The sequence below is a fragment of the Homo sapiens genome, chromosome 10 (assembly GCF_000001405.40).
Source record: "Homo sapiens chromosome 10, GRCh38.p14 Primary Assembly".
NCBI classification, from domain to species: Eukaryota; Metazoa; Chordata; class Mammalia; order Primates; family Hominidae; genus Homo; species Homo sapiens.
Window position 1 is genome coordinate 12,417,045 of NC_000010.11, and position 26,142 is coordinate 12,443,186.

At 47.9% G+C, this 26,142-nt stretch overlaps 1 protein-coding gene across 7 annotated transcripts in view, besides 1 other annotated feature; it reads left to right on the top strand.

Annotated features, from left to right (window-relative positions):
• CAMK1D (calcium/calmodulin dependent protein kinase ID) overlaps window positions 1–26,142 on the top strand; it is a 485,999-nt gene that overhangs the window by 67,498 nt on the left and 392,359 nt on the right. The window lies entirely within an intron of this gene.
• Window positions 8,564–8,623: an enhancer, noted in NCBI's record as "active region_3042". NCBI's record gives its function as "activates an Ori minimal core promoter by ATAC-STARR-seq in GM12878 lymphoblastoid cells {active_cell/tissue: GM12878}" and the evidence as "EXISTENCE:reporter gene assay evidence [ECO:0000049][PMID:35858748]".

Genomic DNA, 26,142 nt, shown 5'->3' on the forward strand with positions numbered 1-26,142 from the left:
AAGCCCCCGAAGCCTCTCTGTCCTCATCTGTAAAATGGGGACAGTGGCAGTACTTGTCTCTCATAGAACATCCATGGGAGGAACTTACCTCAGTGCCTGGCATATAGCAAGTTTTCAAAAAATATTAGCTGTTAATATTATTTTTATTACCTAGACGCAGGATGATGGACCCTATGACCTTCTGAGTCTTCTTCCATCTGTGTGTGTATGTAAGACAGAAAAAGAGACTGAGAGAGAGAGAGAGAGACAAAGAACAGGAGAACTACACTGTGGATTTGGGTGATGCTCCAGGGAGGTTTGAACAGACTGTCAATGTCATGTTTTGAAGAGAGCAAGGAATTTTGGGGATACTGCTGTGCCAGAGAAAACAGGTTCGAGAGAAAGAAAACAGAGGCGGGATCCCTTACAGAGCAAGAGGTAACCAGGAGTTGTTTAGGTGGCATCCAGCCAGGGGAATTGCTCAGGGTTCTGCAGAGGGCAGCCTCTGGGGCTCCGGCTGGGGTGGGGAGATGGCTTGGCCCTGGGCTGTTGGCCTGGGAACTGGGGTTCAGCCACAGTTGAGTTCCAAGCCTCCTAGTGTTTCCTCTACCTCCTGGCTCCTTCAGAAATGAGGGCTGGGGGAGGCCCGAGGCTGGCCATCTGGGGAGCTGTGTAAGCAAGGAACACGGAGGTCCTGCGATGGAGTGGCTACACTCTTATGTGGAAGGCCAATGGGTAGTGGGCATCTCTATGCTCTTTATAACAGTAATAATTATTTTTTGCCTTTTTTTTTTTTGAGATGGAGCCTCACTCTGTCACCCAGGCTGGAGTGCAGTGGCATGATCTTGGCTCACTGCAACCTCCGCCTCCTGGGTTCAGGTGATTCTCCTGCCTCAGCCTCCCGAATAGCTGGGATTACAGGCGCCTGCCACCACACCCGGCTAATTTTTGTATTTTTAGTAGAGACGAGGTTTCACTATGTTGGCCAGGCTGGTCTCGAACTCCTGACCTCAAGGCCTCAAGAGGCCCGCCTTGGCCTCCCAAAGTGCTCACAAGAGTGAGCCACCACGCCTGGCCTCGATGCTCTTTAAAAGAAGCCCTCGCCCTGCCAGATGATGCAGTAAGCAAGAATGAATATGGATCCCCAGGGTGTGGGAGGAGAATGAATTACTTGGTAGGCCTCAGTCCAGCAGGTCAGATGAGGCAGAGAACATGCCATCAAAACATATGATTGCAACGCGGCCATGCCTTGTGAAAGAAGAAAGCTTGGCCAGCTGTTGACTGATTAGAGATGGAGATGGGCTGGGCATCTGGCTCATGCATGTAATCCCAGCACTTTGGGAGGCTGAGATGGGAGGGTCACTTGAGGCCAGGAGTTCAAGAGCAGTCTGGGCAACATAGCCACATCCTCATTTCTACAAAAAATTTTAAAGAATTAGCTGGGCACCGTGGCATATGCCTGTAGTCCTAGCTACTGGGGAGGCTGAGGTGGGAGGATTGCTTGAACCTAGGAGTTTGAGGCTGCAGTGAGCTAGGATCATGCACTGCATTCCAGCTTGGGTGACAGAGCAAGACTCTCTCTTATTTTAAAAAAAGTTATGTATTGCACTCCAACTAGCAATGTGTGAGCATGACCTTCTTATCACATCCTTGCCAGTGATCAGCATTAAATTTTTTTTCTGATTTGCTAGTCCAAAATGAAACCTTTTAAAAAGTATTAAAACGAATGAAGGTATTACTAGAAAAGACTTGATCAGTCAGTTGAGCAAAGGTTCCAATTGCTGGGTGTGTCTGGGAGTTGCAGACCCCCACGTGGTGGGAGATGGGGAGTGACCGTCCACCCCTGCCGAGGGATGTCCTGCAGAGTGGCCATAGATGGAAGGCCTCAGCCGAGAGTGGCCATAGGTGGAAGGCCTCAGTCGCGGGCGTGGTGTGTCCGAAGCCGTTGCTCACAGAACACTTAAGAGCAGCTGCCTGTTTCAACATTGGTGCTTGACTTTCCCTATTGAATGAACTTCCCTGTCTCTTTTGGACCTCACATTCGGAAAGGTGTCTGAGAGGTCATCCGTTTCAAACTTCATCATCTCAAATGAATGGCATTCCCTCCTGCCTTTTAAAACCCCAGGGACGGGAGATTTTATAAGCTATAATGACTTTACCATATATTTTCCTCAAAACTCAACAGCCATGATCTCATGAATACTCACCCCTACTTTCTGCCCCTATGAAAAAAAAAATAAATAAAAGGCAAGAGTGAGAAAACCAAACTCAAGGAGGTGAGGTTGGGAGCCTGGGGCCACGGAACTCAAAGTTCCCAGAATAGAACTGGGTTATCCCGACACCTGTGAACACTGCGCAGTAACATTTTCCAATGTTGGGTAGCAACATTTTCCAAGTTACTATGAAAAATGGGGAAATACACGCGATAACCAGAGCCAAGTCCTGTTTCCTGACTTTTCCACAGCCTTTCTTGACAACATGCAGGGCACATATTAGACATGAGTCACCGCTGTGGTTTTCTTAGTGCATAAAATTGCACACCTCACTCCCCACCGGGCCTCAGTGGATTCTGAATGAAGCCAGAAAGTGATTCAGTCTTAGATCAGAAGAGAAAATGCACACACACACACACACACACACACACACGCAAAAATAGAGTTCTTGTTAACTTCTAGGTTGCAGAAAATACTGAGATTAGAAAAACTGTTTTTTCAGCTTCTTAGGACTTTGTATATGTTGGGTTTTCTCGTTAGGTTTTCTTTTGTAAATAAGTGGTTACCACAGTAGCTTTTCCACCAGAAACATGACTCTGGGTGGATCCTGTTGTCATAGTGATTTAATAAACTAAGTTGAGTTTTTTAGAATTTTTAGTAAGCAGTGAATAATTAGATAGAATACTTTTTTCAGCCTTAGTGAAAAATGACATCTATGTAACTTTTTTTTTTTTTTCTCTTGAGACAGAGTCTTGCTCTGTCGCCCAGGCTGAAGCACAGTGTCGAGCTCTCGGCTCACTGCAAGCTCCGCCTCCCGGGTTCACGCCATTCTCCTGCCTCAGCCTCCCGAGTAGCTGGGACTACAGGTGCCTGTCACCACGCCCAGCTAATTTTTATATTTTTAGTAGAGACAGGGTTTCATCTTGTTGACCAGGTTGGTCTTGAACTCCTGACCTTGTGATCTGTCCGTCTCGGCCTCCCAAAGTGCTGGGATTAGAGGCGTGAGCCACCACGCCTGGCCCATGTCTATGTAACTTTAAAAAATACGGTATTTTAGTGATAGAGCTGGTGGCAGCTGATGTAGTAGTAGTAGTCCTTTTCATATTACCCTTGATGGTCCACTTCAAATGAATGAACTTTAATGATTTTACTTTAATAGTTCTTACTACTTTATGAATTATTTTGTTTTGTTTTCATAACTCCAACAAGGCATTATTGGCAGTGGATTTTATGGCTTAGTAAGATCTTGAGGTAACTGAGGTTTACTAATTAACCCTTATTGATTTGTTTGGGACTTTTTGGTGGACACCTTAGTCAAATATACTCTTTTTTTTTTAATTGTCTAGAAAAATGGAATGTGCCCCCAAACTACTTAGGGATTCTGCATATTTCTAACAGCCTCTGTCTTGCTAAGAGCTGTTGGATAATCCAGGAAGGTTTCAGGGGTTTCAGGAGAAAACGAAGTATATTACATCAGGGCCATGAAGACCAGTGCCAAGTTACTAACCTGCCTGAGAATGACTCCACTTCTCTCCTATAAAATGAAATGTTCGATGTGTTTTCTTGCATTTTTAGAGGGCTGTCATCTTTCCCCTGGGCTCACGTTGGTATCTGGGACAACTGAGGGCTCCAGTACTCAGACAAGGGGGAGGTTGGCTGCTGCAGGTGGAGCTCCTGCCACGTCTGTTCTGTGAGCTCGCCTCTTCCTTTTATCTGGGAGAGAGACAGGTGTATTGCTTTCCCTCATGCCAGAGAAGTCCTTCTTGCTGGTTTGAACAGCACCACTCAGAGTCTTGCAGGCTGTATCATATAATCTCCAGCCTTCTACACTTTAGGAGACGGGACAGGCTGAATGGCGTGGTGTTGAGGTGAAGGCAAGCCCAGAATCCATCAAGAAATCTAAGACTAGGCGGGTGTAAGCTTCAGGTACCTGGGCCTGGTCTCCTTCCCATGTTCACATCCTAGGATAGGAATCCCTTTCTCTCAAGCTCAGATCAGCCTGTGTTTTGCTCTGAGAGCTTTACTGTGCAGAGAAAAATCCTATGAATAAAGCATCTAGTTTCTACGGTTAATACCGGCGGTCACAGTGTGTGTGGGCAGGACAAGCCCAGTGTGCTTTGCCCGATGATGTCCCGGAGCTTCAAACCCAGATGTTCCCTAGCCGCAGTATAGCTGAGTCCAGCCAGAATGATCAAACCATAGCTGCTGTTTCAGTGTGGCTCTTGCCGTATTCCACTGTCTCCCTTGGTCATGCTGGGCCATTTATCCAGGATTCTTTTTTTTTTTTTTTTTTTTTTTTTTTTTTTTGAGACAAGGTCTTGCTCTGTTGCCCAGGCTGGAGTGCAGTGGTGCAATCTGGACTCACTACGACCTCTGCCTCCTGGGTTCAAGCGATTCTTCTGCCTCAGCCTCCCAAGTAGCTGGGTCTACAGGTGTGCATCACCATGCCTGGCTAATTTTTATATTTTTAGTAGAGGTGGGGTTTTGCAAGGTTGGCCAGGCTGGTTACCCAGGACTCTTTTTGATAGTTCCTGATCATGCCTTTGTGGTTTTTTTTCTATTCGCTTGGGGGCAGGTATTTGGGACTCTTATTTTTTTGAGACAGAGTCTTGCTCTGTCACCCAGGCTGGAGTGCAATGGCTTGATCTTGGCTCACTGCAGCCTTCGCCTCCTGGGTTCAGGCGATTATCCCGCCTCAGCCTCCCGAGTAGCTGGGATTACAGGTGCCCACCACCATGCCTGGCTAATTTTTAGTAGAGATGGGGTTTCACCATGTTCGTCAGGCTGGTCTTGAACTCCCGATCTCAGGTGATCCGCCCGCCTTGGCCTTCCAAAGTGCTGGGATTACAGGTGTGAGCCACTGTGCCCAGTCTTGGGACACTTTTTGATAGCTCCTGATCATGCCCTTGTGGTTTTTATTCTATTCCCTTGGGGGCAGGTATTCAGGAGTGATTTTTTCATTGCTATTTGGTGGTTATACGGTGTGAAAATCCTCCTTGATTCAACTGCTAGCAGGTGTTGAGGGGCAAACAAGTCTGGTGGTGACGACTATAGTCCGGATTTTAGTCGTGTGTAACAGGAGGAACAAAGAAGGGAGTCTTGCCTTTCTCCGGTTATTCTTGATTTTCAGCGTGTGTTGGTAATGGGATAATTACACAGTGATCAGAAATGAACTCACTAGCTCTGATTGCAGGCGGCCCATGCCTGGGGCATTGCCACCTGAGAACAGGTCTTACGAGGGGATGCGATGCCTGGATACGAATGACTGCTGGATTCCAAGCTGCAGCATGCCCCCTGAACACCTGGCCAAATGCAAGAGGCCTAGAGCTCTCCCCTCCAAAAAAGAGCTTGTAGAGAAATGGAAAGCAGGATTTGGGCTTATGGAAGTGTTTGAGAGTCTGAGCTCTCTTTGGGAAATATGTGGGTTAATATAATTTTTTTTTTTTTCTTTTTTGAGACAGAGTCTCAGTCTGTCGCCCAGGCTGGAGTGCAGTGGCATAATCTCGGCTCACTGCAACCTCTGCCTCCTGGGTTCAAGTGATTCTCTTGCCTCAGCCTCCTGAGTAGCTGGGATTACAGGCGCCTGCCACCATGCCTGGCTCATTTTTGTATTTTTAGTAGAGACGGGGTTCCTCCATGTTGATCAGGCTGGTTTCGAACTCCTGACCTCAAGTGATTTGCCTGCCTTGGCCTCCCAAAGTGCTGGAGTTACAGGCGTGAGCCACCGAGCCCGGCTATTGTAATGGGTTTTGCTTGTAATAATTTATACACTATGACTTGTTTCTTTTGGGGAGGGTTTGCTTTTGTACATGAAACTTGGGCTTGTATCTAGAAAGCACGCGATGTTTTTATGATGCAGAATAAAGGAGGGAAGAAGGGATGTTGATGCCGCTTCTGTGTTCTTCTAGGACTTGGGCAATTTCCTTTTGTACTATCCATCTCATCTAATATTATACGGGTGACCACTTAGCTGTATCATAAAGAAAGGCCCCTTCGGCCAGGTGCAGTGGCTCACGCCTGTAACTCCAGCACTTTGAGAGGTCAAGGTGGGAGGATCGTTTAAGACCAGGAGTTCGAGGACAGCCTGGGCAACAAAGTGAGACCCCATCTCTACAAAAAAGTAGAAAACATTTACTGGGCATGGTGGCTTGTGCTGTGGTCCTTGTTGCCTAGGAGGCTGAGGTGGAAGGATCACTTGAGCCCAGGAGGTTGAAGCTGCAGTGAGCTATGATCCTGTGACTACGCTCCAGCCCAGGGGACAGAGTGAGTCTGTTTCTAAAGAAAAAAAAGAAAGAAAGGCCCCTTCAATTCTACCTCATGACAAATAAATTCTATTACCTCCGGCTCCTGTGTGAGTTGCCTGTGAATATCCAGAACTCCCAGGTACAGGGAACCTCTGTTGGTCTGGAAGCGTCAGCGGCAGAAATTCAGTCTTCCTTTTCCCAATCAGATTCAAGCCAGCTTGAAACGATAGTTTTGAATGTCTCAGAATTGGATACAAGAAGCGTTTCCCCTCAGGTTGTTCAGACAGCCAGGAATGCGTTAGCCTGACTAAGTTGGTTGTTCTGAGGTTTGGTTTCTGTGGTGCCAAAATCTAGAAAAAGGCCCTGAGTGGTGTGTATCTGAAATGAGAAAAGCCTTGTGCTTGAGCCTCAGTGATTGAGTCTCTGCTGCTCTTCAGCGGGGTCCTGTGCCTTCCTGGGCAGGGTCTTGAGCTGCGTTGTTCGGTCCCCCCATCCCTCATCAGGTGATACCCTTCAAGGCCACCCATCTCGCCGTCTTTGGCCTCTTCATCCACGCCGTGCGGCCTGTTCGTCCTAACTGGCCATGGAAACTTCTCCCTCGCATGTCCCCACCACTGCCTGGTCCCGGGGCCACTCGGTGGGATAATTCCCAAGCCCCCTTTCCCAGCCCAGGCCCTCTTCTTGAACTCTGGCCCCTAAATCCAGCTGCTCCTGGATACCTCTAAGTCAGCAAGCCCAGTGTGAGTCTAAGTGAGCTCCATTGTCCCCTCCCTCTCCCCGACAAATGTTCCCACCAAGTCTCTAGCTCCGTGTGGCCTGACATTCTCCTCTTGTCACCCAAGATGGACGTCCAGTTACAGTTTTGGCTCTTTCCCCCACCTCTCACCTCTCCTCCCAATCCCCCTTTTCTAATCCCTCCTCCAAGTCTGATTGGTGCAGTTTCTCAGATTTCAATTTAAATCTCTTGACCCTACCTATTTTTAGGAACGCCTTCCCTCACCAAACATGCATACTCACCCCTGAGCCCTCACTGCCTCCTCCGTGAATTTCTCCAGCAGCGCCTTTGCTGGTCTCGCTTCCTTCTATCTTGGCCCCAGTCCAGCGTATTTTCCACAGTGGGTCCAAAGTGATTCTCAAAGTACAAGTCTGACCATGTTATTCCTCTGTTTAAAACCCATCAGGGCTGGCTGTGGTGGCTCATGCCTGTAGTCCCAGCACTTCGGGAGGCTGAGGCAAGAGGATCACTTGAGCCCAGGAGATCACGGCTGCAGTGAGCCATAATTGCACCATTGCACTCCAGCCTGGGCAACAGAGCGAGACCCCATCTCACACAAAAAAACCAAAAACCCATTAGGGACTTCCCATCACCCATGAAGCTTCATTCAACTCCCTCTTGCATCATCTAATAGAGGGTCCGACCATACGACATCTGGTTTGTCTGAGACAGCCCTGGTATATATAATTTTTCCTGGTGTAAATGTGTCACTCTTAAACACTTCCTGGTTCAGGTGATACACCCTGTGGTCTCTCTACTTATAAGGCCTTCCATGATTGATGTGCCACCCGAGTCACATTCTGCTCCAGCCACACTGGACGGTGGGGGCTATGCCACATCTTCATGTTCACCTCCAGCCTTGACCACGTGGTCCATCTGCATGGAGTCTGACCCATGGTCCCTTCTCCCCAGCTGGCTCCTGGGCACCCTCTAGGCCTCCACTTAAATCCCATCCCATCTGGGAGACCTTCCCGTTTTCTCTTCAGCACTAGATAAGGTGCCCCTTTCTTTTCTTTCTTTCTTTCTTTCTTTTTTTTTTTTTTTGAGACAGAGTCTTGCTCTGTCCCCCAGGCTGGGGTGCAATGGTGCAGTCTCGGCTCACTGCAACTTCTGGCGTCTAGGTTCCAGTGATTCTCCTGCCTCAGCTTCCTGAGTAGCTGAGACTATACACGTGTGCCACCACGCCCAGCTAATTTTTGTATTTTTAGTAGAGACGGGGTTTCACCACGTTGGCCAGGCTTGTCTTGAACTCCTGACCTCGGGTGAACTGCCTGCCTCGGCCTCCCAACGTGCTGGGATTACAGGCGTGAGCCACCGCCCTCAGCCAAGGTGCCCCTTTGCCTACGCCCTCCAGAACCTCTTCTTAGCCCTGTGCACCACTTACTGCCTGGGATCCGAATTGCTTATTTATCCTGTTCCTCATCTAGAGTCTCTTGAGGACAAGGATGAATGTCTTGGGCACAGCTCGCTGAGGTTAGTTGAGTGCCTGCCACATAATCATTGCTTGATACATATTTGTTGAACAAGCGAATATATGGGCGAGACAGAAGTGGGATTCCTCCCAAATAAGAAAATATAATTTATCAGTTGTCCCACTTTATTTAAAATATGATGACAGGCAGACTTTAAATCCTGCCCCAGGAACATTTTTGCATGCACTGGTGGAAGAACTGAGAAAACAGACTAAAAAATTCTCATCCTGCTATTAAATAATTCAGGCTCACTGGAGAACAGCCCATGCCAGGTATATGTCACCTCCAGCATTAGCTAACTTTAGCTGATCTTGGTATTATTTTACAGTTTCCTCTTTAGTGCACCGTTCATGATAAGCTGTTATTTTGAGCATTGCAACAATTCCTCTTTCATGAGATGTCTTTGGGCCATGCAGTATTTAGGCTTGACGTGGAGTCAGCCCTGGTAATGGGAAGCTCATCCTGCAGCTCAAGACTTGCCTGTTTAGGCTGTTGTATTTTTGCTGTGAAGGGATATTTTTTTCCTTTTTCTTTTTGAGATGGAGTTTTTCTCTTGTTGACCAGGCTGGAGTGCAGTGGCATGATCTCGGCTCACTGCAACGTCCACCTCCCAGGTTCAAGTGATTCTCCTGCCTCAGCCTCTGGAATAGCTGGGATTACAGGCATGCGCCACCATGCCCGGCTAATTTTGTGTTTTAAGTAGACACGGGGTTTCTCCATATTGGTCAGGCTGGTCTTGAACTCCCGACCTCAGCTGATTGCCGGCCTCAGCCTCCCAAAGTGCTGGGATTACAGGCGTGAGCCACCATGCCCAGCTGGGAATTTTTTCTTTTTGAGACAGGATCTTACTCTGTCACCCAGCCCAGGCTGGGGTGCAGTGGTGGGATCAGGGCTTCATGCAGCATTGAACTCCTGGGCTCAAGTGTTCCTCCCACCTCAGCTTCCTAAGTAGCTGGGACCCCAGGTGCGTGCCACCACACCCAGCTAATTTTTGTTGTTGTTGTTGAGACAGAGTCGTGCTCTGTCACTCAGGCTGGAGTGCAATGGCGCTATCTTGGCTCACTGCAACCTCCACCTCCGGGGTTCAAGCAATTTTCTAGCCTCTGCCTCTTGAGTAGCTGGGACCACAGGTGCATGCCACCACGCCCAGCTAATTTTTGTAATTTTAGTAGAGACAGGCTGTCACCATGTTGGCCAGGTTGGTCTTGATCTCCTGACTTCAAGTGATCCGCCTGCCTCGGCCTCCCAGAGTGCTGGGATTACAGGCCTGAGCCACTGTGCCCAGCCTTAATTTTCTGTTTTTAAAGAAATGAGGTCTCCCTATATTGCCCAGACTGGTCTCGAACTCCTGGGCTCAAGCGATCCTCCTGCCTTGGCCTCCCAAAGTCCTGGCATGCTGTAGATGTTTCTCAGGACAACTGGGCATCACTGGCATTTCAGATGGAGCCCCGGCAGGAAAGGGAACAAATTTTAGATGGTGAAGATGAAGATACTTTGATGGAGGGACTGATTCCAGAGGGTGGGTAGGGTTAGGGACCCAAAGACCAGTTCACCCCTAGGCAAAAGGGGCCAGGGGAGGACCTCGGAGAGTCCTGGAGCCATGGCAGGTGGCTGCCCAGAGGGAAGTGGGGTGCGGGGACAGCAGAGTCCCAAAGCATGGAGAGGCTGGGGAAGAATCCGCCGATCTCTCTCCTTTTGCCCTCTGCTCTCCTGACAGTGTCTCCCATCAGCCGGCCCCCAAGCTGGAGGACAAGTGGCCTGGGTGACACCGTCTGCCAGTCTTGGCCTCCCCGGACAGGGAGAAGGTGGGGGACAGGTCTGGGAGGGCAGAGAATAACCAGCGCCCCAGCCTGGCCTTCCACTGGCCATCTTGGAACTTGGAACTTGGTTCTCCTTCATTTGGTTTCAAGCATTTATTTCTGGAGGAATTTCATGGGGCTGGAGATACTTTCCTGGCTTCACTGAACTTACTGTTTTTTTTTTTTTTTTTTTTTTTTTGAGACGGAGTCTTGCTCTTTTGCCCAGGCTGGAGTGCAGTGGCATGACCTTGGCTCACCGCAACCTTTTCCTCCCGGGTTCAAGCGATTCTCCTGCCTCAGCCTCCTGAGTAGCGGGGATTACAGGTGCATGCCACCATGCCTGGCTGATTTTTCCATTTTTAGTAGAGACGGGGTTTCACCATGTTAGCCAGGATGGTCTCGATCTCCTGACCTTGTGATCCTCCCACCTTGGCCTGCCAAAGTGCTGGGATTACAGGTATGAGCCACTGTGCCCAGCCGCTCTTTATTTTTAAATTAATTAATTATTATACTTTAAGTTCTGGGATACATGTGCAGAATGTGCAGGTTTGTTACATAGGTATTCACATGCCATGGTGGTTTGCTGCACCCATCAATCAACCCGTCATCTGCATTAGGTATATCTCCTAATGCTATCCCTCCCCTATCCCGCCATCCCCTGACAGGCCCAGGTGTGTGATGTTCCCCTCCCTGTGTCCATGTGTTCTCATTTGAACTTACCCTTTCTTACAGGAAAGAGTTGGGTTGTGTCCATCCTGCCTAGAATCCCTGCTGGCTTTTCTGAGCCCTCTTACCTGGGCTTTTTGTGAATTAGGTGGGGAGCTTTTAGGCCCTTGAATATAGATAGCTTGTTAAAGACTGTCTATTCTTTCTCACCAAAATTTCTTTTCTTTCTCCACGTTCGACATTCTATCTCATGGTATTCCTCAAGGTGCCCGTTTCTCTCTCTCTCTGCTAATACCACCTTGGTCTGAGACACCACCTTCTCTTTTCTGGGTGGATCTGATAGCTTTCCCGTGGGGTTCTGCCTTTCATCCCGTTCCTCTTCAACTTCGCCTCCCCACTGAGCCAGGGCAGCCCCGGGAAGAGGCCAGCGGGATCTGGGCACTGTCCCATGTCAGGCTTCTGCTGGCTCCCACTGCCCTTAGAACACAACCCAGCTTCCTTACTGTTAGGAGCCGAAAGCTTGTGTCCCCACGAAATTTCTCTGTTGAAATTCTCACTCCCAATGCGACGGTGTTAGGAAGTGGGGCCTTTGGGAGGTGATTAGGTCATAAAGGGGGAGCCCTCCTGAATGAGATTAATGTCCTTATCAAAGAGACCCCATAGAGCTGCCTCGCCACTGTGTCAGGATACAGCAAGAAGGTGGCTGTCCATACCCAGAAGAGGGCGCTCACCAGAACCCAACCCTGCTAGCACCGTGATCTTGGACCTCCAGCCTCCAACCGTGGGAAGTCAATGTGTGGTTTATGAGCCACCAGGTTTATGGTACTTTGCTGTAGCAGCCCGAATGCAGGATGACACTCACTTTGGCCAGGAATGGGGGTATGGTGTGGCCTCTGCCCACCCACTGCCATCTCCCACATTGTGCCTCCCTCATCGCCCACCCCTGCCACTCTGGCTTGCCTTGAGTTCCCCAGCCCCCAAGCCCTCTCTGGTCTCAGGGCCTCACACACGTGCTTTCCTCTTTGCTGACCCCTTCTCCCCCACTCTTCTTTCTCATTCTCCAGCCTGCAGTGTGAATGCCACCTCCTCCAGGCAGTCTCCCCTGACCACCAAATGTCCCATGCTCTCTTCCCCTTCCCCATTCTCTCTCTCTTTTTTTCTTCCTGAGACAGAGTCTCGCTTTGTCACCCAGGCTGGAGTGCAGTGGTGTGATCTCGGCTCATTGCAACCTCTGCCTCCAAGGCTCAAGCAATTCTCCTGCCTCAGCCTCCTGAGTAGCTGGGATTATAGGTGCGCGCTATCGTGCCTGGCTAATTTTTGTATTTTTAGTAGAGATGGGGTTTTACCATATTGGCCAGGCTGGTCTCGAACTCCTGACCTCAGGTGATCCACTCACCTCAGCCTCCCAAAGTGCTGGGATTACAGGCGTGAGCCACCATGCCTGGCCCCCATTCTCTCTTATAACATCCTGTGACCCTGCACGACCTCTTCAGTCATCCACCTCACTGTGCCCAGCCCTTAGCACATGGGCTGACAAACATTGGCACTAAGTTCAGGTTCGAGGTGGGTGTGACTGAGACCACCGGGTGCCTGTGGGAGATGGGCCCAGGGAAGTTGCTGTGTGCAGCTGCACTCCACGCAAGGTTTCACCTCTGGTGAATCCCTCCACCGAGGATGCGTGAATGTTTGCATTAATGTACTTGGTTAGCATCCTTTGGACACATGGGCTGGGTAACTGCAGTTCTTAGAACAACACTGCCCCAGCACTGCCCCTCCCCACCCCGGGGAGTCACTCTCACTTTGTCTCCCACATTCTCTCCTGCTTGCTTGCTTCTCTCACTGTTTTCCAGCCTTCTGATTTCCTCTGCTTCATGTTCTTTGTCATACATAATGACAAAAACACTTACATCCCCCACTGCCTTGCTGTTCTCTCTTGGATGGAAGTCAGTAGCTGGTATAATCCTAGAAAACCCCTGTTCCAATCCTGCTCGTTTGGGATTTGTGAGCATTTGGATGGGACCAAGCCCCTGTTGACCTTTGCATGCTCCGTGAAAAGACGGATTGCTCAGCAAAGCGCTGTGGTCAATAATTCCCAAATGAACACGATCCGCTCTCCCGGAGAGCACAGCCCCACAAGGCACTGACCAGCCCTGCTGGTAGGTGGGCTTGCACGGAACAGGTCTGTGGGTCCTTTGGCCTCCTGTAGCTGTGAGTTTTTATATCTGATGAACTTGAAGGGGATCAGTGTGCTTCAGAACATCTAGAGCTTTCACTAAATCAGATTAGTTTTTATCCCAAGTCATTTGAATTAATTACACGACTTTTTCCTTGTCCTGTCTGTGGGTCACACACCAGAGTCTGAGAACGAGGCAGTACATTGCTGATTTTGCAAACACACTGAGACCAGACAGCTGCCCAGGCTGTGAACGACCACACGCTTCCTTAGGGCAGAGCTGGAGATAGAATCCACGTGCCGAGTATTGGATATGTCTCCATTGCAGCTCTCTGGGGCTTTTCAGGCTTGGAGCTTTGGTGCATACATGTGATGATGATGATGATGATGATGATGATTTTTTAAGATGGGGTCTTGCTGTGTGGCCCCGGCTGGAGTGCAGTGGTGCAATCTCAGCTCACTGCAACCTCTGCCTCCTGTGTTTAACCGATTCTCCTGCTTCACCCTCTTAAGTAGCTGGATTACAGGTGTGCACCACCACGCCAGGCTAATTTTTGTATTTTTAGTAGAGACGGGATTTCGCCATGCTGGCCAGGCTGGTTTCAAACTCCTGACCTCAAGTGATCCGCCCGCTTTGGCCTCCCAAAGTGCTGGGGTTATAGGCGTGAACCATATGCCCAGCTGATACATGTGATTATTTTTAAATGCTATTGTTTTTATTTTTTATAATAAATTAGGAGATGAGCCTCATTTTCTTATTTTTTAAAAAATTATGCTTTCTCCACCTTGTTCTTACTGCCTTATTCTTGTAGTAGAGAAAGGAAGAAAAATTAAAACAATAAACCAAAATGTGAAAGGCAGTTTTGTCGGGAAGTTATCAAACACACATCTCACCTCCACTGCTGCCCCTTGGAAGCCTGGGGCTGTTTTTTGCAGCTGCACTGTAATCCCTGGTTATTGAGGGCACAGGTGGAAACGGAGATCAGCTCATGGCTTAGAAAGGAGCCGGGTGCACAGGTGGGTCTGGGTGAGCTGGAGGCTGTGATCACTCAGTGTCTGAGGAGAGAGACTGGGTGGGTCGGGGAGAGAGGCCGATTCTCAGACTCCAAGAGAGTCAGTTATGTGCACTCCCGAGAGGTAGATGCAATCCCCTCACTTTCCCGAGGAATAACTCATTCAAAAGATGCACTAATCCTCAGGGGAATCCAGGGAGATCCTTCAGAGCGCCTGCCTATCGTGGAGCACCTGAGGAACCCAGGGTGGGAGGAGCGTGCTCTGTTACTCCAGGGCCAGAGCTGGGGGCGTCCGTTCCCTGCTTTAATAAAGCCTCTGATCTCACCCGCATGACCCGGTCTGACTTTTCTCCTCTTCTTTTCTACTTCCCTGAAGGGATTACTGGGAAAACTAGAAGTGACAGCTATTATCCAGCTTTTCTATATTACATTTTAAGATTTACAACCTTCTCACATCCGCAGAGGATTTGAGGATGTTCTTGGCAACCTCTGATGATTCCTGACTCTTCTCCTGGCGTCACAGTTCCTCCAGCTGTGTTTCCCTTTTGGCCATGCGGCAGGGTCTGGAGAGACCTGTCATCCCTGGGGAGAGGCAATCAAGAAGGCCGACCATGTCTCCTTGAGCAGAGGTCACTGTGGCCAGTCTTTGGCTCAGGTATTCTACCTTTGGAAGAGGGGTTTTGGATACATCAGAGGAGCAGTGATTTCCAGATTCCAAGGGCTGTCTGGAGACACTGGGCCGCGTTTCTCTGAGAGCCTGGGAGCTCTAATTTGCCTTTGGAGATGGTGATAGGGAGAGTGGGAATCATATGACCCACAGAGGTGGATTGAAACTTGCCCGTGGTGGTGGGGAGACAGCCCCAAAGAGTTTTTCCTCAGCCCCATGAGGCTGTGATTCTCAAGTTTTCTCCTATCACCCTTACCTTCGTTTGCAGGAAACTTAGTCCAAGGTTTATTTGTCTGTTGTCTTTGTGTGTGTGTTTCTGGCAGATCCAGCTGGGGCCTGGTTTGAAGACTTTTGCTTTCCCACCAAAGTGGGAATGAATAAACAAATGAATGAGTGAGTACACGAATAAATGAATGAATTAATAAATAAATCAATGAATGAGCGAATGGATGAGTTAATGTGTGAATGAATGGGCAAGTGAACAAATGAATGAGTGAATGGATGAGTTAATGTGTGAATGAATGGGCAAATGAACAAATGAATGAGTTGAATAAATGAATGAATGAGTGAATAGATGAGTTAATGTGTGAATGAATGGGCAAATGAACAAATGAGTGAGTTGAATAAATGAATGGGTGAGTTGAATAATGAATGAATGAGTGAACGAATGAATGGTGTCAGGGTGCCAGCGCTTGCCTTGCTTGCACCCTGAAGATTCCCCATTGTCCACCCTTACCGTGTCCTTGTCACTGGTGTTCTGCCCTCATTGGGCTGGTCTGTGCTGGACACTCTCGAAGGCCAGATTCCACCCACCTGCTCCCAAGATGGTGCCGTCTCGGCAATGGGAGCTGCTGCACAGCACAGGATGACCCTTTGGGAGAGTCATGTACAAGGTCCCCGGGATTAGAGTAAATGCCAGTGCTATGCAGGGATTTCACTGTCCCTGAGCCAGCTCACACGGATCATGGAAAAGAACCACAGACTGTGCCCAGATGTGTTCCGGGCATGGGAGCAGGTGGGGCGTGAATTACATAAGATCCAGGGAAAGACCCATAAAGCACACACCAGGTGCTCGGTCAGGTTTCCTCTCACAGCCTCAGAATTGCTCTCTTTATGCTGTTCTCCTTTTAGAGATTAGAGGAGCTTGGAGATCCCCCATCTCCCTGCTGAAAACCTTTCCCAGTCCAGCTGCTTTTTTGCCTACCACGTTTGTGGAGCTTTGCTGATCATTCTCATCCTACCAGCTGCCCTCCCTCCTGCAGACCCCAGGACTTAATTACCAATGCCTGATATCTTTCCCTCTGCTCTCATTTCCTGCTCCAGGTACAGCGTAATTTTTTTCTCAGGTGGAAGGGTTTGATTTTTTTTTTTAATATTTGTTTATTCAAAACAAACAGTCTAGGCTTCCTTAGAGTCTTCTCCCTTAATTTTGCTTGGTTATTTAGTCAACAAAAGAAGCATAAAACTGGGTCGAGGAAAGCGGAATCTGGTGGTCAGAATGCATCGAGTTTTGGAGTGGTTTCTCAGGATTTGCCTCATGTAAGGGGTCTGGAGCCTGTGATTGGCATCTCCCCAGTCAATGCCTTGCGTCCAGAAAGCTGGCATGCGGTTTATATTTGCTGAATGGAAAACCATAGAAAAGAAAAAACAAACTCGTGGATTCAGAGCATTTTTGCAGTAACATTGAGGAACCTGCCAGATAGCCACGTGCTTGGGCCCCTGCCCCTGGGCATCACTCAGCTCTGCATCTTCTAGGGGCTGCAGTTTGCCAAACCCTCACTTTGTAAAGGGTTATGTTAAGAGTCCTAACATACACAGACTTCCTGTCGTTGGGTGGGGATTTCAGGTCCCCCAGTGCATCCTTCTGTCTGGATTTAGTTGCATCTACAAGTCCCTCCTCTGAAGTGGTACTGGCCCTTGTGAATTTTATTATGATTATTGTGGGGAAAGGGTCTTGCTCTATTACCCAGGCTGGAATGCGGTGGTGTGATCATACCTCACTGCAGCCTTGAACTCCTGGGCTCAAGTGATCCTCCTGCCTCAGTCTCCTGAGTTGCTGGGACTGCAGGAGCAATCCCTCATACCTGGCTAAGAGCTCTCTTCCTTTTCTATTGCTTTCTTACCTTGAGTAACTAGTCCTAAGATTTTTCTCTTCCAAATTAAAAAAATAAGTCTGTTGTTATATTTCTAATTGTGACTGGGTACAGGATGATAGCATAGAGTGTTTGGGGTTTGGAGTCAGACACACCCCTGACTTGTGACCCCAGGTAAGCCATTTGGCCTTTCCAAATCTCCTCTGTAAACGAGTGCCCTTCAGCGCTTGAGATTTCCTGATTCTGTGTACAAGGGGTCTGGCGCTGAGCCTTGATCATGGATGCCCATGAGATGCCCACTACCCTAGTGACCAGGAACGGGGCTGGATCTAGGCAGAATTGTGAGATTGGCTTGGCTCCAGGCTCATAGAGCCCAGCCGTTGTTTGTGCAAGCTGTGAGCTCTCTCATTACTGGCCTAGAATTAGCTGGTGGCTTTAGGGATAATGACATCCAGCAAGTGACTGCTTAAAGATTCCAAGGATTTAAGGACCTAAATTAGCAAATCTCTTTCCCTAATTGCAAAGTGAAAAACGTCCTTGTGCTGTTTTCAAATCTGTTAAATAATACTCTGAACGGTGTGTAAATACACATTTGATGTTCACCGGGTAATGCTTCCCAATGCTGAGTGGTAGCCCGGTCACCTTGATCGCCTTCAGTCTGTGCTGGGTGTTCTGAGACTTGAAGGATGTGGGAATCATCCGTCTAGAAAAGGCTGGCCCTTGGGCATGACCCTGACCTCCCTGCAGGAGAGTTATCTTTGAGAAAGCAGCCCAGGAGGAATCAGGAGGGGAGGGAAGGCTGGGCGCAGTGGCTCACACTGGTAATCCCAGCACTTTGGGAGGCTGAGGCGGGTGGATCACCTGAGGTCAGGAGTTCGAGACCATCCTGGCCAACATGGTGAAACACTGTCCCTACTAAAAATACAAAAATTAGCTAGGTGTGGTGGTGGTGTGGGTGCCTGTAATCCCAGCTACTCCGGAGGCTGAGGCAGGAGAATGGCTTGAACTTGGGAGGCAGAGGTTACAGTGAGCTGAGATTGTGCCACTGCACTCCGGCATGGGCGAGGAGTGAAACTCTGTCTCAAAAAAAAAAAAAAAAAAAAAAAAAGAAAAGGTGATGGGGAGCAGGAGGCCAATTGCAGTCCCTGAACAAGAAGCCCCACTGACACTGATGGATCCGCCCTAGGTTTCCATATTCCAAGCCTAACTCCAGGTTCTCTGCTGCTTCCGTGGTTTTCTTACCTCACCTGCTCAGCACCTCATTTCCATCAATTGCACTTCCCTGCTTGTTTTGGAAGGGCCTCCTGTAGATGCTCACCTTTGTGCAACAGGCTGGAGTTCCTGTTACCTCAAGGTAATACCGGCGGGCATCCTGTGACCTGCTCGTCCCCTCCACTCCCAAGCAGCCTGTCTGTTGGCAGCTCTGAGTCAGAAGGTGAGACGTGCTCTGTGCCCAGCAGGTTGGAGGATGGCTTAGTGGTCATCTCCAGGCTTTTCCACTGCTTTCCACTCTCCTACCCTTTAATACCTGGCAGGATTCCAACAAGACCTCTTTTGTTTGCATTTTAACAGATGAGGGATGTAGGTCGCCTGTGGCTGGAGGTATTTTCAGAGGTGACAGGGAATGCAGTTTTAGAACTCAGCGGTGAGCTCTTTGAATGCTGGTCCAAACCCTTCTCATTGTCTTGTATTCGTGCTGCCTCCTGGGCACCATAAGTCAGTGCTAAATGCATGAGTGGGTCCTTCCTTGCATGTTCCTTTACAGAGTAGGTTAAGAAGGGATCAGATGCTAGAGCTTGCTGAGGCTCCACCCTTGTCTGTAGATGAGCAGAATGGGGTGGTGGGGACAGTCGGGAATGAGTCTTAGGCTGTCCAGCTCTGAGCTGTGATTGCATGCAGGTGAACAGCCTGAGAGGACTGTACCTTTGTGCCACACAGCTCGGGAAGGAAGGCTTGCTTCTAGGGGTGGGAGACTGAGTGCCAATGGCTTTCCGGGCCCCGGCTTCATCTGTGACTCAAGCCTGTCCTTGGCCTGAAAGCCACTCTGGTTCCTTGGTCTTCCTCTTCCACGTACAGGCTTCACATGTGTGCCCAGGGGTGGGTTCTAGTTCCCTGGGCCAGCCTGGGCATCCTGTCGATAGAGTCTAGAGTCTGCTGTGGACCTAAGGGTTTGTGGAGTGCCTCCTCTTCACATTCACTGGAAGCCACATGCCCCCTCTCAGGGACATCCCTCAGCCTCGCTGGATGAAGGCTTGTCCAAGGAGAATGAAGAGCAGTGACCGTCGAAGGAAATCTAGGAAGCTGGTCGGAGGCATTATTCTGGATTTTATTGAGGCTTGCTGACTTTGTTTTTTGAAAGAAAGGACAACTTTTGACTTCTGTGGGGTTTATGTTCACTGGTGGCGAGGAGGTGATGGTAAAGTCTTTGGGGGCAGAGGTTCCCCTACCTGGTGGGAAGCCTGACATTCTAATCTCATAAGCTCGGATGCTGTAGTTAGCCCATCTCAGCCCTCATGGAGGAAGCTGTCTCGGCAGCAAAGCCCCATGGGGGCATCTGTGTGGGCATGCTGGCATGAGGACTTGATACAGGATCCCTGAGACCAACGGGTGATCTCAGTGTGACAGGATCTATGGTATTTTTAGAGCTTAGGTGATCAGTCACAATACACGTATTAAGTGCCCATGCGTTGGTCCCCAAGACCACCCCCAGGTTTGATGATTCGCTCCACGGACTCACAGTTCTCAGCCTATGGTCATAGTCATGGCTAAGATTTATCACAGCGAAAGGACTTCGAGCAAAATCAGCACAGGGGAGAGGCACCAGGGGCAGGGCGCAGATCAGGTGGGCACAAATTTCCCAGTGTCCTCTTCCTGGGGGGTGGGCACACAGGGCAAGCTTAGTTCAATCAGCAAGGAGTGGTGGTGACGTGTGAAATGGCATCTACTAGGGAAGCTTGCTAGACTCAGCAGCCAGATTTTTTTTTCTTAAACAGACCGACTATCTATCTATCTGTCTATCTATCATCTATCTGTCCATCTGTCTGTCTGTCTGTCTGTCTGTCTATGTAATCTATCTAGAGTCTCGCTTTGTCACCCAGGCTGGAGTGCAGTGGCACGATCTCGGCTTACTGCAACCTCCGCCTCCTGGGTTCAAGAGATTTTCCTACCTCAGTTTCCCAAGTAGCTGGGATTACCGGCGTCTGCTACCACGCCTGGCTAATTTTTTGTATTTTCTTAGTGGAGACGGGGTTTCACCATGTTGACCAGGCTGGTCTCAAACTCTCATCCTTAGGTGATCCACCCGCCTTGACCTCCCAAAGTGCTGGGATTACAGGCGTGAGCTACCGCGCCCAGCCCAGACTTTAGTTTTTAAAGCATTTTTAGGTTCATAGCAAAACCAAATGGAAGATACGGAGATTTCCTATATACTCGCTGCCCTACACACATGCACAGGCTCTCCTACTATCAACATCCCCCAGCAGAGCGGGGCATTTTGTTACAGCTGATGAACCCACAATGACACGTCACCATCACCCTGAGTCCATAGTTTACATTAGGGCTCACTCTTGGTGTTGCATATTCTATGGATTTGGACAAATAGCTAATGACATGGATCCACCATGATCGTATCATACAGAGTAGTTTCACTGTCCTAAAAATTCTCCCTCTTCTGCATATTTTCCCCTCCCTGTCTCCAACCCCTGGCAATCACTGACTATTTTCCTGCCTCTGTATTTTGCCTTTTCTAGAGTGTCATGTACTTGGAATCCTGCAGTATATATTCACATCAGCTTCTTGTTAGGGTTCTTACTGAGAGCTGGTCACATAGGCACCTGCTGCCTAGCACAGACCCAAATTCCAGAATCTCAGAAGGAAAGCAGATGTTCAGCAAAAACCACTTTGCTTGCATAAACTGTTTAGGTGCAGTGAATTGCTCTTTAGTTAGGATGGTGGGAACCCTCCTGGAATCCAGGTTCTCAGGTGCCAGCCAAGGGCCAACCTTGTGAGGGGCCTTTTGAAGCACGTGCTCTTTTCTGCACACCTCATGATGGACCATGCTTGGCAAAGTGCAATTCAGGTGTCTGAAGTCGTGGGTCCTTCGCCTTGAGCTTGGGACCTTTTCCTTTTGTTTTTGGCTGCTGCATGGCTGACTTCCTTGGAGAAGGACCACATGTTAAGCTGCCCTTGGTGTCTTTTTTCCATCTCTGAGACTTTGCTTCCCCTGTCGTGATGGAATTATACATGTGGCTATTGTCCCTGCTGAATTGGGAAGATGAAAAAGGTATAATCCCCCATGACATTCATTCAGTTTCTTTCTTAAGAAGATTCTAAGAAAACCCTGTTTTTGAAGCACTGGGTGTTCCATCAGTTGAAATTCCTGGACATATCTTTCTTTAAAAAAATTTTTTTGAGGTCACATTCTTGTCTTTACTGGGGCCATTTTTACATGTTGTTTCACTGGTTTGGGAATGAAAGATTTTAATGAAGTTTGCAACGACTGCTGACCTCTTACCCAGGAGTGGTGGCTGCACATTTTTGCTGTTGCACTAGGAATGACTTGAGACTTAGAATTCTCACCATGACTTTTGAAGGTTGAGGCATTGCAGTAGAGATGCAATAAATTATTTCTCCTTAGAGGAAACCTTTGCTTTTCTTCCCTGCCTTGCTCCATTCTACCACAGAGTTAATGGTCTTGATTTTAGTGAAATAACAATAACAGCAAACCTGCCTTTGGACGTTAAATACAAACTGCATCCTTGGACAGCACCGTGTTACTTTAATTTTTTAAGAAAGACTTAATATTTCTAATTGATTTTTTTGCTTTCTATGGAATTTTCCCCAAACCTCAGCTTTCTGGTGCAGGCTCTTTCCTGTCTCTTCCTCTCCTGTTTATTAAAATAGAGTCATTTGCCCGTCACGTGTGGGAGACTGTCGCCAGGGTAGGACAGACATCAGGCACTATCGTCTGTGTCTACCAGGGCCTATTATCCCAAGTTCCATTGCGCAGGCTGTCTGAGGACTTTGCCTTGTGTACCACAGACTAACATTATTTTTCTTTTTCATAACTCATATTCGAAGTCATTCTTGACAGGTGCTTTCTGTGGCTGAAAAGGCTGCATACGTCTCAGAGCCCTGAGCAGTTGTTTGTTATGGTTTAATATTTATCGAAAACTCCCATCTGTGGGGGCATTTATTGACTGGAGGCCAGACAGGGAGAGCCACGTGTTTTTCAAAATTACTCTGTGCTCGTGTATATGTCCCTTTATTTTTTTCAGGGAGCATTATTGCTGTTAAATGGGCATGACTGAAAGGATATGCATGTTATTGTTTGCCTGCGTTTTAGGGCTTGGCTGTGATAACAGCTGTGGGATTTGCTCTCACCAGTCCTCCTCCCTGCTGTAGGTAGTGTTGTCAATGTGCACATCGGTGAAGGGTCCCGGTTGTAGAGCCACACTGCTGAGTGCTTTGCAGTTGAATTCACTGTCCCGGGAATCCTGAGAGAGGGATCGAGGACTTACTTGTTTGTTCTGCTGTCTTTGATATAAGACGAATCTGAGGAGATTTTGTTTTTCTAAATAAAATGGGAAAGACCTTAGTGGCCTAGAGTTTTCATATTAGTCCGTTTTCACGCTGCTGATGAAGACATACCCGAGACTGGGTAATTTATAGAGAAAAAGAGGTTTAATGGACTCACAGTTCCATGTGGCTGGGGAGGCCTCACAATCATGGTGGAAGGCAAAAGGCACATCTTACATGGCGGCAGGCAAGAGAGAGAATGAGAACCAGGTGAAAACAGAAACCCCTTATCAAACCATCAGATCTCGTGAGAGACCTACTCACTACCACGAGAACAGTATGGGGGAAACCACCCCGTGATTCAGTGAACTCCCACTGGGTCCCTCCCATAACATGTGGGAATTATGGGAACTGTAATTCAAGGTGAGATTTGGGTGGGGACACAGCCAAACCATATCACTTGTCTTACTTTCTAGCAGCAGATTGTCTAAGTCAGAGAAAGGCAGATGTGGGTTTGGCCTGGGATTCATTTCCTTGAAACTCTTCATAAAAGTCTTACTTGCATTATGTTGTAATTATGAAACAGTAGGTCTTTTTCCTGCCATTCCAACTATACGTTAGTCTTTTTGGATTTTTTTTTTTTTTTTGAGACGGAGTCTCCTTCTGTCACCCAGGCTGGAATGCAGTGGCATGATCTTGGCTCACTACAGCCTCCGCCTTCCGGAGGCAGGAGGCAATTCTTCTGCCTCAGCCTCCTGAGTAGCTGGGACTACAGGTGGACGCCACCACACCTGGCTAATTTTTGTACTTTTAGTAGAGATGGGGTTTCGCCATGTTGGCCAGGCTGGTCTTGAACTCCTGACCTCAGGTGATCCGCCCACCTCGGCCTCCCAAAGTGCTGGGATTACAGGTGTGAGCCACCATGCCCAGCCAGATACCTGTTTTTTTGTTTAATTTGGTGTGACGGAAGTTGAACTCAGTGGCACACTTTAAATGAATGCAGTTTATTGTGGATAAATTATACCTCAATAAAGTATATGAGATACGGTGTATGCCAGGTGCAGTGCTCAGGCCTTGGGCAACACACAGGTGATAAAACATGGTTCCTGTCCTGTAGGCTTCATAATCAAAAATGATCTGTATATATGATGGGATGCAGGAAATGCTACCTGAAAATACAGCATCTTGGCATACTGAATATTTCAGGCTGAAGGAAATGGAGGAAACTGCAGAAGCAGGGAGGTCACTCTCTAACCTTCTCTAACCCTTTTCCCCTAAAGTGGGCCAAAAAGAATTCTCTGGCTTGCCTGAAAGTCGGTCATAAGACCCTCATTCCAGTGGGGTTGTGCCCTATTCCCAGAGGCCAGGAAGAATTTGAAAAAGCAGCCCTTGCTAAGTTTCTCCTTGTTTATTACCATTAAATGATACCCTTTCGTCCTCCAATCATACGTCAGCATGACTGTCCATAAAAATAGACAGTTTTTCCTGGGTTGTTTGGACTTCATTTCTGAAGGCTCTCATGTCACATATGACTTACATTAATTTTTGTTTTCTTTCGGAGACAGAGTCTCACAATCTGTCACCGGGGCTGGAGTGCAGTGGTGCGACCTCGGCTCACTGCAGCCTCCATCTGCTGGGCTGAAGTGATCCTTCTGCCTCAGCCTCGCAGGTAGCTGGGACTACAGGCATATGCGACAGGCCTGGCTAGTTTTTGTATTTTTTTTAGAGATGGGTTTTCACCATCTTGCCCAGGCTGGTCTTGAACTCCTGGGTTCAAGTGATCCACCCACTTTGGCCTTTCAAAGTACTGGGATTATAGGTATGAGCCACTGTGCTTGGCCTTTAAATAAATTTTTAATGTGTTCCTTTTGTTAAAAAAAAAAAAAAGTCCTCACACCTGTAATCCCAGCACTTTGGGAGGCTGAGGCGGGTGGATCACTGGAGGCCAGGAGTTCGAGACCAGCCTGGCCAACACGGTGAAACCCTGCCTCTACTTAAAAAAAAAATTTTCTGGGTGTGGTGACACATGCCTGTAATCCCAGCTACTCGGGAGGCCAAGGAACAAGAATCGCTTCAACCCAGGAGTGAAGCCGAGATTGTGCCACTGCACTCCAGCCTGGGCAACAGAATGAGACTCTGTCTCAAAAGAAAAAGTAAAAAGTCAAACTCTTCCCCGCACCCACAAGGCTAAACTTACCTTTTCTTTTTATATTCTATTCCATACTCAAAGATGACAACTAAAATCCCCAGATAAACTGAGAAGCGCTTGATTATAGTCAGTTTCAGTCAAATCTCTAGGACACAGAATGGATTGGAAGTTGTATAAAATAAATTTTCTTGCACAATAATGTGGGGAAAAAAGGAAATGTGTATTTTTCAAGTTATAAAAGACAATCTCTTTGATGGTATAAAATGCAGCAGTAATAATTCTTCAAGTCTTATTAAAGAATTCAAATGGACCAAAACTCAGTAAAATGTTAACTCTAGGCTCAAGGACCTATGAAGGTAGTCTTTCTTAATAACTTGTTTTTCTTAAAACTTTGAGGCCGGGCGCGGTGGCTCATGCCTGTAATCCCAGCACTTTGGGAGGTCAAGGCAGGCGGATCACGAGTTCAGGAGATGGAGACCATCCTGGCTAACATGGTGAAACCTCGTCTCTACTAAAAATACAAAAAATTAGCCAGATGTGGTGGCAGGTGCCTGTAGTCCCACCTACTCAGGAGGCTGAGGCAGGAGAATGGCGTGAACCCGGGAGGCAGAGCTTGCTCTGAGCTGAGATTGCGCCACTGCACTCCAGCCTGGGTGACAGAGAGAGGCTGTGTCTCAAAAACAAGCAAACAAAAAAACTTTGATTTCTCTTAGACGTTATATGGAAATGGAATTTTATTCTGTGAATGTTTTATTTCAGATAGACTTGCAAAGCCCTTCTATACATAGACACTGTTTTTAGTTTTTTTGTCACCCCAAACCTCAAAAATGCATCTCAGCTTGAAAGACTTTCTAGACTTTTCCTGAGTCCAAAGTCATCCTGCTGATATCATGGTTTAGGTTCTGAAAGGTTTTATATCGAGTGTTTTTTTCTTCTTTCCTAAGAAGGAAAGGATCAGAAAGGAACTTGTAACCATTGTTGAGCATTTTAGGAAAAGTGAAAACCGACTTCATCCGTTTCATTTGTAAGGAGAAGCATGTTAGATGTGAGTATATTTGGAAACGTCCAAAATTTAACCATGACAAGAGACAGCAGTGTGATGGCAAATTTCAGGCCAAAGTCTGGAATTTCTTTGCTTTCTTCCCATTTTATCTTGTCTTCTCATTTCTTTTACTTTTCTACTTCTCTTCTCTCACTATTTCTTTGCTTTCTAACGTTTCCCATCAATTTTGAGCCATTTTCTTTATTCCATCTACATATGAACTCACAGCAGTAGCAAAAATACTGAGCTCTCAGAAATATATTTATCCATGTATCTAAGGACTCTGGAAAACAGATTCAAAGATGTGAAGCCTCAGTAGTGAAACTGACTCGAGGAGGAA